General features: G+C 41.0%; 1 protein-coding gene, 1 non-coding gene and 1 pseudogene across 3 annotated transcripts in view; all 3 read right to left on the reverse strand.

Moving 5' to 3' along the window:
- Positions 1393–14221, reverse strand: part of ZC3HAV1 (zinc finger CCCH-type containing, antiviral 1) — a 66206-nt gene continuing 53377 nt past the window's right edge. For both annotated transcript variants that reach the window (NM_020119.4, NM_001363491.2), the window contains exons 10-13: positions 13083–13173; positions 11843–11973; positions 11329–11459; positions 1393–5731 (exon numbers count right to left, since the gene is read on the reverse strand). In NM_020119.4, coding sequence (NP_064504.2) covers positions 5472–5731; positions 11329–11459; positions 11843–11973; positions 13083–13173 — 613 coding nt within the window. In that variant the 3' untranslated portion in view covers positions 1393–5471. The remainder of the gene's footprint in view (positions 5732–11328; positions 11460–11842; positions 11974–13082; positions 13174–14221) is intronic.
- Positions 1978–2035, reverse strand: MIR10399 (microRNA 10399). Its single transcript, NR_162108.1, has one exon. It is a non-coding gene; the product is annotated as a microRNA 10399 (primary transcript).
- RPL17P28 (ribosomal protein L17 pseudogene 28) lies at positions 7334–7884 on the reverse strand (annotated as a pseudogene).

Consider the following 14221-nt stretch of genomic DNA (forward strand, 5'->3'; position numbering starts at 1 on the left):
ACTCAACTAAGTATTGCGTTTCATGGCAGTTCTCTTTATAGTAGCTAAGGTATGAGGGTATGAGTGGAAAGTGGTTGTTATTTAGCTTCATTTCTTTTTTCTTTTTTTTTTTCTTTTTGAGACAGAGTCTTGCTCTGTCACCCAGGCTGGAGTGCAGTGGCGCAGTCTTGACTCACTGCAGCCTCCACCTACCCGGTTCAAGCGATTCTCCTGCCTCAGCCTCCCAAGTACCTGGGACTACAGGTGTGTACCACCATGCCCAGCTAATTTTTGTCTTTTTAGTAGAGACGGGGTTTCACCATGTTGGCCAGGATGGTCTCGATCTCTTGACCTCGTGATCCACCCGCCTCAGCCTCCCAAAGTGCTGGGATTACAGGCGTGAGCCACTGCACCCGGCCATAGCTTCATTTCTACCAAATGCTGGACTGAGGAGTCCACCGGAAACTAGCGCACTATGACAACGTAAACAAACTCATAAAAAAAATAAATAAAAAAACTCCAGGATCTGCTCATGCTTGGTTTGATAGCATTTTTGTGTGTTTCAATCCAGGTGCTTTGACAGCAATGACTTTGCTACACCTTGCTTTATTTATATTGAGGTCCAAGTCAAATGGTAGTTTTACCTTCACTTTATCAAATCTCTGCTGCCATAGAACTTGCTCTCCCTCTCCATTTCCCTCCTCCCTGCTCCCTCTCCACTGAAAGCTTTGTGATTAAAAAAGATAATGAGGCCGGGTGAGATGCTCACACCTGTAATCCCAGCACTTTGGGAGGCCAAGGCAGGTGTATCACCTTAGGTCAGGAATTCAAGACCAGCCTGGCCAACATGGTGAAACCCCACCTATACTAAAAATACAAAAACTAGCCGGGTATGGTGGCGGGCGCCTATAATCCCAGCTACTCAGGAGGCTGAGGCAGGAGAATTGCTTGAACTCAGGAGGCAGAGGTTGCATCGAGCTGAGATTGCGCCACTGCACTCCAGCCTGGGTGACAGAGTGAGACTCCATCTCAAAAAAAAAAAAAAAAAAAAGAGAAGAAAATAATGAGTAGAGAAGGGCTTTTGGAGAAGGAATGGCTGATAGGGTAATTCTGCTTATCACCATTTATATTTTTAACTTTTGTGTCTCAGCCTGGCCCTGTTCACACCCCCGAGACTAAAGGAAGAAAGGTGTGTTAGCAGCTTTCAACCCTTCCCTCTCTAAATCCCCAGACAAAAGATGTGGGGGCCATCACCACCACTGTGCCTTGCCCAGGTGACTTGGTCATCGAACCCTGGAATGATAAAGCTGGAAGGGGCAAAACACATCATCTCTCTCCCATTGAATAACTGGTGTCTGCAGTTGATGATGTTTTGGGAGATACCTAGAAATAGATCAAATAAAGGCAGTAGAACCAAATTAATTACTTCTTTTTATTAGACAGTTCAAATTAAGCTTGAAGAACAGGAAGCAATACAACTCAACTATTGAAATACAAATAGTTGAGCTTAATTTATTCAACAAAATTTACCCAATATATCAGTGTACAAAGCATGCTGCTGGGCTGGGCATCAGGCGTGGCACAGCAAACAAGACAGACTGACTCAACCCTCAGGGGGCTTACATTCTAATGCAGAAAGCAGATAATTTCAGTTTGGATACATAATACAAATTATCAAAGCAAGGCGCAAAGTATTTTAAAAATAAGGGGTTTGGGAGGCCAAGATCTGACCTATTCTGTAGAAGGACTCCTTAGGAAAGTAACAGTTGAGCCAATCTAAGGATGCTAGATATTCAGTAGGTCAGTGGAAAAAATCAGTGGTTCTCACTGTGGTCAGTGGGTTATTGGTGGTTTCATAATAACTGGGGACTACTCCCAGCACTGAGTGGATGCAGCCAGGGAGAACGATGTCCTGCAGTGTGTGGGTTAGTGCCACACAACGAAGAATTATTCTGTACCCTGTACGACTGTCTAATGTCCTGCTGGACATTTAGGTAGGACCTACAGCTTGTCCGAGAGAGTAACTCATTTGTTTTCTCTGAGACAATCTGTAATTTGTCTTGTCCTATTATCCTTAAGTAAGGTAATTTCGCTCTTTCTTTTCCCATATACAGATTATGTACATAGTCTGTTTTGTCTTTACCCTAACACTGGTTTTCATTCTAGTGTCCCCCACCCGTCTAGTTTCATTTTCCTGTACTTGTTTACAGGAAGTAGCCTCTAATCGGCTCTTAAATCCAAACCTACTCATTACAAGGAAGAGTAAACATCTGTCTGTTTCAAACAGCGTAGTCATGCCTGAGCGTTTACATAATGAAATTCATCTTCTTTTCATTATAAATTTCTTCTTTTCTATTTCTCCTTAATAAGAGAGTTAGGGCATTAAATTGATTTTTTTAAGAAATTCATGTGTGTAAGTAGATTGTATTATCTATGAGTCATTTCAGGTCAGCAAAGAGAATGTTACAAAATATCTGCTCTGAAAAAGGTGAATAGATCTGATAGGGTTTGTGGTTGTCACCGTGACTGGGCGTGGGGGTGGGGGCGCTACTAGCATTTAGTATGTGAGAGCCAAGTATGCAGAACATCTTGCAATACATTGGACAGTTCCTCACAATAAGAAATTACTCTGCACCCTATACGAATTTTGAATGTCTCACTAGACATTCATGTATGACCTATAGCTCGTCTGCAAGAATATATCCTCATTTTCTCCACTTCGACAACTGTACATTTTCTTGCATAGTATCTTTATTTCAATAAAGGTTATTTCGTTCTTTCTCTTATATACAAATAAGTATTGTCATATGCAAAGAAGTTATTGTATCCCTAGTTTTTATTCTAATGCCCACTGATATCCCTGCTTTTACATTTTCCCACATATGATCTGATCTCCTACCTTCTAAGTTCAAATTGATGCATTATAAATAGTTGTAAGCATCTGACTACTTCATTAGGTCTTCAGTTACAGCTGTGCCCAAGTTAGGTACCTTTTATTTCCTCTTTATGTTCATATTAGTTTTATTTAATTTTTAATTTATTTCTAAAATTGTGTGTAGGTGGAGCATATTACCTCTGAATTGGATTTGGAGGATAATAAAGAAGATGTATTTCTATTTGTCGTTTAGAAAAAAAAAGGCAGAAATGCCCATTGAAAACCACTGAACTAGCTAAAAATGGGAACCACAAAACTGAAAGGAAGCCAGAGTGGCTTGCGCAGAAGAAACTAAATGATAGAGGGGTAGGGGAGGGAGAGATCACATGGGGCCATGACAGCGGTTTTGAACTTTATCCTGAAGACTTGATGTGTGTTTTGAATGTGCATTACTAAGTAAATTTTAAAAAATATAACCTTCTTGCTCTGAAGAAAACACAGCAAACAACTTAGAAGGGAACAGAGATATTTAAGAGGTAAAACTAGACTTAGAAACTGCTTAGATGTTTATCAGGAGGGAGAGGAAGGAGTCAAAGATGACTTCCAGATTTCTGCTTGAGCCAATGGGTAGATGGTGATGCTTTTCACTTACATACAGATCCTGAGAGAGGAACAGGTTCATGTGAGGGAGGTAGATGGAGAGTTCCACTTTGGACATATTGAATCAAAGATGCCTGTGAAATATCCAGCTAGTGGTGTCTAATGGGCTGTTGGAAAGAGTTGGACAAACTGCACCCCTACAATGTGAGGGTCAAGTTCAGAAAATGAACACTCCAAAACGAAAGTTACCATGAAAGAAATAAGTCAATGAGAATAAGCATTTGTAGTAACTCTCCCAGAAAATAACTCTACTCTAAAAAAACTATTTTTTTTTTTTTTTTTTTTTTTTTTTTTTACCGGTGGAGCTGTTTAAGCCAAGGAGTTGTGGAGATCTCTGTGATGATCCAAAATCTGACTAATATAAAATCAACTCTGATGCTAATTAAATCTGACTTATAACTTGTCTGCTAAAAGAAATTATAACAGGAAACTTTGGTGACTGGTAAGGAATGTTGAAAAGGGAAAATCAGAAGGAAAAACCTGGTTCATAAGAAGGAAGGAAATATTGGTCCAAGCACGTCAAGGGCTCTAAGTAAAAACCGATGGCACTACAATTCCACATAATCCATTACATTTGGAAAAAGAAGCTCCTGGTAGACACAGGGCCTCTTTGGGATATTGTTCTTTGTTCTGATTCTGTGCTCACCAGGAAACAAATTTCATCTCCGTAGGGGGCCCGTCCTTCAGTAGGAATGGCCCTGCTCCTAGGTTCTTGGCTCACTTGCCAAGACTACAATAGCACTCGCGTTTATCAGTTATGCTTGTGTGAAGCTGGTTATTGCAATTCATTGTTCTCAAAATACTTTCATGAAAAGCCTGACCTGAGAAAAAGCCTTCTCTGTAATCATATTAATTAGAACATAAATGTCTACTTTGCCATAATTATACAAAGAGCCCAAATGGGCAATTAACTCCAGTTGGTTGCTTCTCTCTGAGCCTTACTTGCCAGCTCTTATTACCGCATTCCAGAGAGAGTCAACCTGGATGGAGTTTGTCCCCTAAATAAATGTAGCGATAAAGAAAAGGGTGCTCCAAATCAGTTTCATCAGAATGATAAGGTACAGTACTGCAGCCATGTCTGCAATAGCACTTCAATTTTACTTTTTTTTCCCCTAGCATGTCCTTAAGCATTTTCTCCCCAGCTTTTCACAATCTTTCTTCTAAGGCTGTAATGTCTTACATCCTTAATAGGCATGATTAGATTTCTCCCAAATTTTCCAAATTAACTTTCTTTCAATGTAACCAAAACAAAACCATGGCATACAGTAAACTAAAAGGGTAGACAGGAGAGAAAGGTTGCTGCAATTACAGAAAATTTAGAAATCAGCCTTTACCAGTTACATCTGAGACAAGGTAAACTTTCCAACACATTGGAATCATCAGAAGGGCTTTAAAAAATACAACTGCCAGCCGGGCATGGTGGCTCATACCTGTAATCCTAGCACTTTGGGAGGCCAAGGCGGGCAGATTGCCTGAGCTCAGGAGTTTGAGACCAGCCTGGGCAACACAGTGAAACCCTGTCTCTACTAAAAAATACAAAAAATTAGCTGGGCGCGGCAGTGTGTGCCTGTAGTTCCAGCTACTCGGGAGGCTGAGGCAGGAGAATTGCTTGAACCCGGGAGGCAGAGGTTGCAGTGAGCCGAGATCGCGCCACTGCACTCCAGCCTGGACGATGGAGTGAGATTCAGTCTCAAAAAAAAAAAAAAAAAAAAAAATACAACTGCCTGGCGCTGACGCCCAGAAATGATTTCATTGGCATGGGGTGCAACCTGGGCATCAGAATTTGTTTAAAACCTCCCAGATGATTCTAATATGTAGCAAAATTTGGGGACCACTGATCTAAGACATTAGATAACTGAGCAGGAAAATATAAAACTTTAACTCCTGTCTGCGGCAATTTAGTTCTGTAAAGGAACAGAATGGTTATGGCATCCTTCTGACGCTGTATTCATCGGTTCTAACTAATCACGCAGGCTTTGTCTTCAGTATATTCAATCACATATTGTGGGTAAACCTGATCTTTCTGAAAGATGACAAAAACGGAGGGATTCGATCTGGTATCCACACAGCTGTCGAACTGTGGAGGAGGGCTCGTGTACGTTATATTTCCTTCAGTAAACTTTCCAACCAGAACTTGGGCTACAAACATAACGACGTTTTTGGCATCATACGGGCAATTTTTGTGGGAATAGATGGCATCTTTTGCAAAGTAAATTCCTAGAAAGAATCAGAAAGAAAAGTTAAGAAATATTATAAAAGAAGGTATACAGTTTATAAGATTTGTTATATACAGTCAGATGGGTGTGGACTAAGCATATGTCAATAATACCTTACTGATATTTATAAACTTTCCTTTGCACTTAAAAACATGTTAATGATGCAGGCGAACTTAAATACAGTATATAACCCTATAGAAATGACTGAGGAATATTTGCTACAGTGCAGAGCTCATGCTGATAGTGTGAGCCATTGGGTGCAATGACCAAATGACAATGTCACAGTGGCCCAATTCATGCAATTCACCCAGTGTGAGCTGAATGAGCAAACTTGGAACTGATGAGTCAGTTGATGCTTCGTCCTCAACTCTAAAACAACCTCAGATAACGATTGCTGCTTCCATACACAGCAGACCAACAATTTCCTGCCAAGTTAAAATTTTTATTTTTATCATTGTCAAGTGCTACTCTGGGCAGGTGCAGTGGCTCATGTCTGTAATCCCAGCATTATGGGAGGTTGAGGCGGGTGGATCACATGAGCCCAGGAATTTGAGACCAGCCTGGGCAACATGGGGAGACTCCATCTCTACAAAAAATTTAAAAATTAGCCGGGCATGGTGGCGTGCACTTGTAATCTCAGCTACTCAGGAAGCTGAGGCAGGATTGATTGAGCCCAGGAAGTTGAGGCTGCAGTAAGCTAGGATCATACCACTGCACTCCAGCCTGGGCAACAGAGTGAGATTCTGTATCAAAAAATACTAATAATATTTTCTAAGAAAGCTACTCTGTCGTTTTAAAGACCATGAGTAGATATTGCAACTCCTATTTCCATGCAAGAATCAATAAGTAAAATGAATTGTTTTACTTGTGGTAACAAATGTTTAATATACTTCCCATCTACTTTGTTTTTGTTCTTTTTATCATTTTATAGTTAGATGTTTGAATTCCAGAAACATTGCTTATCCTGAATAGGTCAGATACTAGATATTCTGTGCAAATGATGTTCTACTATATTTAAAGTAAAATATGGAAGTCTACCTATACTGACCTACGACGTCCAATCCCACTCCCCTTCCCAAAACAGTTTATGGCTGGCGGGAATTCTTTCACACCTGTTTCTATGCATTCACATACATATATGTGCATATGGTGGTTTATGGTGGTTTACTTGTTCATAAATAGGATCATAATATATGAACTGTTCTACAACTTTTTTTTCCACTTTAGTCCTAGAAATCTTGCTATGTCAGTACATCCAACTCTCTCTCTCTCCTTTTTTTTTTTTTTTTTTCGTTGTTGTTGTTGTTGCTGCTGTTTTTGAGACAGGGTCTCTGTCACCCAGGCTGGGGTGCAGTGGTGCAATCTTGGCTCACTGCAGCCTTGATATCCTGGGCTCAAGCAATCTTCCCACCTCAGCCTCCCATTCTAATCGGTGCGAGGCAACAGCTCATTGTGGTTTTAATTTGCGTTTGCTTGATGATTAGCGATGTTGAGCATTTTTTCATGAACTCATTGGCCATTTGTATTTCTTCTTTTGAGAAATGTCTATTCAAGTCTTTTGCCCATTTTTGAAACTTTTATTTGCATGTATTTTACGCTGAATTTATTCCCGTGCTGTAAGTTTTTGCTTCTTCAGTATCTTCTAGGATAGCTTTTTCTTCTGTGCACCTCCTCTTCTGGTTTAGGAACACGGTGTGCTTCTTCAGGAAGATTGTCTCTATGTGGCAGGGGGAGCTTAGGCATGAGTTAATCCAACCATGAGCTCTGGAAGTCTGGTGGCACATCTTGGGTGCTTTGTGCGCCTGAATATCCTCGACGACCAGAGAATCTACAGCTCAACCCTTACGTTCAGCATTACTCTCTGCATTTTTAAGTGTGTACAGCAAGAATTCAATTCTTTTGGGGTCACAAACTGCGTGCCCAGCCCCACTGTTTGGTCTGGGCACTCCTACCAACTCCACCCTCGTAACGTTGGAATGGTACACATTGTTTCCATACAGTGACATCTTTCAGACATTTGCTGGCTTTTCATATAGGCGTACTCTTGATGGCCTGGGCAGTTTCATGGGTGTCCTTAGAGTGAACATGAAGATTTGAACCTCTTTATTTGCATGATTTCATGGAGTTTTCTGGGTCAAGTGAATAGTGAACCATTTTCACAGATCACCGCAGGCCACTTATGGGAACAGCTTGCACATTTTAAAATTGAGTTATTTGTTCTCTTGCTGTTGAATTGTTTAAGTTCCTTACATATTTTGGATATTAATCCCATATCAGATGTATGGCTTGCAAATATTTTCTCCCACTCTGTGGGTTTGTCTGTTCACTTTGTTAATTGTTTCCTTTACTGTGGAGAAGCTTTTTAGTTTGATGCTATCTCATTTGTCCATTTTTGTTTTTGTTGCATCAGTTTTTTTATATCACACTTATATAATCTGGAATCTATATTTTCTTTTTTTAAAATTCCCTTTATTGTGTTAAGAAAGTTCATTTCTATTCCTACATTTCTGAGTGCTTTATTTTTTTCTTTTTTGAGACAGAGTTTTCCTCTGTCACTGAGGCTGGAGTGCAGTGGCAGGATCTCAGCTCACTGCAGCCTCCCCTTCTTGTGATCAATCAACTCTCATGCCTCAGCCTCTCGAGTAGCTAGGACTACAGGCATGTGCCACCACGCCCAGCTAACTTTGTATTTTTATTAGAGATGGGGGGGTTTCACCATGTTGGTCAGGCTGGTCTCAAACTCCTGACCTCAGGTGATTCACTCACCTCGGCCTCCCAAAGTGCTGGGATTACAGGAATGAGCCACAGTGCCTAGCCTAACATTTCATTTTTTAGGATAAATATTTGTTTGAATTCTAACATAGGATAGACCTGTAAGAAACTGATGGGTTTTAATTTCACCTATCATATGTCACTTAAGATGGTTACTACATTTCCCATTTCCTCCAAACACTTCTAGGTAAGTTTCACTGATACATTTAAACTTAATAAACTTATGAAATCTCATCAATAAATTCATTCCCCAGCTTAAAACCTTTCATTAGTTTCCCATGCGCTTACAGTCAAGTTTAGCTCTTTATGGTCATACCTTGTTCCATTTCTCCCTTCTCCGCCATGTGGTGACTCTACAAGGCAGGGGAATCCTACTCTATCTCTATCCTTGGGAACACCTCTCTAGCTGGGTTAGTTGTCCACAGGACCTGTTCCTTTTTTTCTTTTTTCTTTTTTTTTTTTTTGAGACGGAGTCTCGGCTGGTGTGCAATGGCATGATCTCAGCTCACCGCAACCTCTGCCTCCCGGGTTCAAGCGATTATCCTGCCTCAGCCTCCCAAGTAGCTGGGATTACAGGCATGGGCCACTGCACCCAGCTAATTTTTGTATTTTTAGTAGAAACGGGGTTTCACCATGTTGACCAGGCTGGTCTTGAACTCCTGACCTCAAGTGATCTGCCTGTCTCGGTCTCCCAAAGTGCTGGGATTACAGGCGAAGCTGCCGCGCCTGACCTGGATCTGTTATTTTTCTCTATAGCAGCCCAACATTTGCAATCATTTAATTTTTTTTTTTTTTTTTTTGAGACAAAATGTTGCTCTGTCGCCCAGGCTAGAGTACAGTGGCACAATCACAGCTCACTGCAGCCTCAAACTTCTGGGCTCAAGCAATTCTCCCACCTCACCCTGCTGAGTAGATGGGACTACAGGCATGTGCCATCATGCCCAGGTAATTAAAAAAATTTGTTTGTAATTAAAACAAAAAATTAGATAAGGTCTCGCCATGTTGCCCAAGCTGGTCTCCAACTCCTGGGCTCAAGTGATCCTCCCACCTCAGCCTCCCAAAGTACAGGAATTACAGGTCTAAGCTACCATGCCTGGCCACAGTCATTTAATTAATTATGTAAGATAATTATGCAAAATGTGTTTGGGGCCATGTCTAACTTGTTCACCACTGTGTACCCACCATCTAGTGTACAGAAGACACTCAAAAATATTTGCTGACTGGCTGATTGACTTCTTGCCTTTTGGGGCAAGAATTGAATTTAATCCTAGTTGTATGAGTTGAACTCACTTTGAATCTGTGATAAACTATTACTTATTTCCTAAAGATGACTGATTCTTAGTTTTTTTTTTGTTTTTTTAATTTTCTAGTTTTTATTTATGAAGTTAATTCCCTCAAACATTAAGCTAAGTGTGAAGTGCAGTTTTTAGTAAGCTTGCTTATTAGTTAAAAATGGACAATAAACATTTACATTCATAAATATTTCTCTTTTTTTCTTTTTTTTTCATTTTATTGTTATTTTACTTTAAGTTTTAGGGTACATGTGCACAACGTGCAGGTTTGTTACATATGTGTACCTGCGCCATGTTGGTGTGCTGCACCCATTAACTCGTCACGTAGCATTAGGTATATCTCCTAATGCTATCCCTCCCCCCACCCCCCTCCCCTCTGGTTTGTTTGTTTTTAAGAGTTGCATGCAGGCCAGGCGCAGTGGCTCACACCTGTAATCCCAGCACTTTGGGAGGCCAAGGCAGGCAGATCCCCTGAGGTCAGGAGTTCTAGACCAGCCTGACCAACATGGAGAAACCCAGTCTCTACTGAAAATACAAAATTAGCTGGGCGTGGTGGCACATGCCTGTAATCCCAGCTACTTGAGAGGCTGAGGCAGGAGAATCACTTGAACCAAGGAGGTGAAGGTTGCAGTGAACCGAGATCGAGCCATTGCACTCCAGCCTGGGCAATAAAAGCGAAACTCTGTCTCCAAAAAAAAAAAAAAAAAAAAAAAGAGTTGCATGCATCCAGGAGCAGTGGCTCATGCCTGAAATCCCAGCACTTTGGCAGGCCAAGGTAGGCGGATTATTTGAGCTCAGGAGTTGAGACCAGCCTTGGCAACATGGCGAAACCCTGTCTCTATAAAAAATACAACAAAAAAAAATTAGCTGGATGTGGTGGCACACACCTGTTGTCCCAGTTACTTGAGGGGCTGAAGTTGTAGGATCACTTGAGCCCAGGAGGTTGAGGCTGCAGTGAGCCGAGATTGTCACCCAAACTGGGTGACAAAGTGAGACCCTGTCTCAAAAAAAAAAAAAAATTGGATGCAAGAGTTTAGGAGCAAAAAGAAAGAGCTATAAAGATTTTGTGTGTGGGCAGACCTGTGACACTTCAGACCGAGGTGACCCAGTGTGGCCTGAGATGGGGAGAGGCCTCTTCTCCCGCTCTTTAATTAAAACCAATCTGTGACAACTGAAGCCTCATATAGCTTCGCAGGCATGGACATGGGTTCAGGAAGAGCCAAGCCAGAAGTGAGTAGTAATGGTAGACAACAAGACCAACAGATGGAGTAGTTTACAAGCACGTATGAAGACTTTGGTCACTCCCAGAAAGAAAACAGAAGACAGGGACTAAGGTCCAGCAATCAAGCTCCAAGTCAACTGATTCACTCTCATTTGGGCATTTGATATTACCGTGAGCTTACTGTCTCTCCAGGACCACTAGAGCCTGGACACTCTGGTTAATACAAAATAATTACATATACCTCCTAATAGAAGCACATATAAAGCCCGAGTTATGACTCTACTAGTTACGCTTCTCTATCCCGGCACTAACCTTTTCCGTATTTGTTTTCATGAGTTTCATGTAGGAAACTGTCAAAATTATTCGAACAGATAGATTCCACATAGGCACGGCTTGTCGCATAAAATAGGAGTTTTCCTTCTTCCTTCATCTGCGATTTCTTCCTAATATAAGAGATGTGAGACTTAACACGGAGACATCCCCTTCCCACTCCAGTTGATAACATTAATCCCAGCTAAAGTCTAATCATCTAAAAATTTCACTCCATCAGCTTTCACAACGGAGCTACTAACTTTAAGGCAGCAGCTGTACAATAATAAATTTATGAAAACTTTTAAAAGATAGACACATGAAATCATTGAATTGTAAAGCAGTAAGGCTGAGAGAGAGAAGCCAGAGTTGATAGAATGAAAAAAAAAAAAAAAGACTAGCGCCTAAAGGAACTGTTAACTACTAAAATAAATCAGTGAATATAAATCTCAAAGGACGGATATTAACTAATCCTTTCCGGTTTTATGTAAAGAAACACGATAACGTGGCCACCAACCATGTAAATTTATCCAGGAGCTCTGAGTTCTCGATCTTCTTTATCTTTTCAATCTTGAAATTTTTCATGGAAGCTTTAAAATGCTCACTTACTCTGACATATTCTGGATGTAGGTGATGGATCTCTGACAACTAATAAAGTTTAAAAATAGATAAATGTGAAATAGGAAACATTTAAAGCATGATACATCCACATATGTGCCCCCTTATGCCATGAAGTATTGTTACCAGGGTTCTTTCTAACAGCAGATAGGATGAGCTGGCTTAGGGTTCCCACATCTGCCAACTCATTCCCGTAATTAATCAGAGAGGCAGCGGGCCTGTCTGTCCAGGCCAACTGAAAGCTAGCAAAGCACTGTGCCTAAGGGAAAAGGGAAGTCCCCTGCAGTCTGAGTTAGTCCAGTAACCTCTTCCCAATGCAAGGGAAGAGGAATTGAGGTGCCATGCAGTCCAAGCAGACCAGCCTGCACAAAAGCTGAAGCCAGCATGGGGAGGCTAAGCAATCTAGGAATAGTTGTGATCCAACTAGGTTAAGTGACACAGTGAGGCACAGTTTGTTTGACTCCCATAGAAACTTGTTAATTGTAACTAACGGACAAGTCACTTTTACTCTGTGAGTTCTAGTTTTCTTGTCCATAAAATAGAGATGTTAATATCCATTTCACATGGCTGTTGCGAGGATCTGCCCAAATGAGACTGTGTGTGGCTGAACTCTGGAAACAATGAGGTGCCTTGTAGCAGTTAGGTGATCTCTGGGAAAGAGAACCATTAGATGACTGCCTTTCTACCTTGATCTAAGAGTGTTTGTTGTTGTTGTTTGTTTTTTGGAGACAGAGTCTCACTCTGTCGCCCAGGCTGCAGTGCAGTGGGCAGGAGTGCAGTGGCGCGATCTCGGCTCGCTGCAACCTCCGCCTCCCGGGTACAGGCAATTCTCCTGTCTCAGCATCCCAAGTAGCTGGGACTACAGGCTCATGCCGCCATGCCCGGCTAATTTTTTTGTATTTTCGGTAGAGACAGGGTTTCACCGTGTTGTCCAGGCTGGTTTCGAACTCCTGAGCTCAGGCAATCCACTCGCCTCGGCCTCCCAAAATGCTAGGATTACAGGGCTGAGCCACTGCACCCAGCCGATCTAAGAGTTTTGCGGGAGCAATTCATTCATCCAGACAAACACATACACTTGTAGCAAAGTACTTTTTCTAACTTTTAACAGACTCATCCACCAAACATGTAAAACCAAGTACCTTATATTTCTTTGAGGATAGGAAGCAAAAGTCCTCCTGAGGACGAAAGGTCGCAGTTAAAGACACTGACGAGGTCTTTGCTGGCTGATGGCTACAAATAAAGAGAAAGAATTCACTTAACTCTCTGCTCCACAGGCCCAAGTGATGTTTTCTCTTAACTTCCAGCCACTAGGCCAAGGATGCCTAGAGAAATACACAATATTTATTTCTGTATTTTTCTCTGGACTACATCCTCACATATTCCTGGTATAGATGTACCAGTAATCATGTCTTTTAAAAATGCTGCAACTATTCATAATCGGTCAATTAAATGCCATTTTCCTATTGACTTAAAATGTAAAAGTATTGACTCTTTTTTATATTTCTGCTCAACTTTCAAAGGTCCTAATGTGTTAGCATTAAGCAAATGTGTCTTACAGCTTCTTGGTCAAAGGATAAACGATTAAATATATTAGGAATTTAGAGGAAAGAATTCTGCCTTTCCAGTATGAACTGTATTTCAGGGTAACCATACCTGAGAAGTAATTTTCTTTTTCTATCCCATAGAGCTAAAGCTACCAGAAAAATTCTTCTTTATAGATGAATCACACTAATAGTTGCAAAAGAGTTGATAGAATTAGAAAACCACCATTTGGCAATACTTAATGACATCATGGTTCTAAACAATCATTATCATTAGCTACTAAAACCATTAAGTGAAAGATCAGATGAATAGTATAGTGGAATGATCAGACTGGAATGACCTGAACCTACTCTGTGATCTCCATCACTAAAAATAGGACAATCAGACACTGTATATCTCTTCATAAGATGGGACAGAACCACTGGTACGAAGCCATCAATTGTATAGCATACTTGACTCAAAACTGAACCTAAATCTAATCAGTTCCCTAAATCTAATGATCAATTTATAGAAATTACACATCAAATGACCCCATGAGGAAACAATTTGCTAATCTGTTTTGAGACAGAGTTTCACTCTGTCACCCAGGCTGAAGTACAGTGGTGTGATCATGGCTCACTATATCCTCAACCTCCTGAGCCCAAGTGATCCTCCCACCTCAACCTCCCAAAGTGCTAGGATTATAAGCATCAGCCAGCATGCCAGGTTAATTTTCTACATTTTGAATTTGGAAAAT

Source organism: Homo sapiens, chromosome 7 (genome assembly GCF_000001405.40).
Source record: "Homo sapiens chromosome 7, GRCh38.p14 Primary Assembly".
NCBI classification, from domain to species: domain Eukaryota; kingdom Metazoa; phylum Chordata; class Mammalia; order Primates; family Hominidae; genus Homo; species Homo sapiens.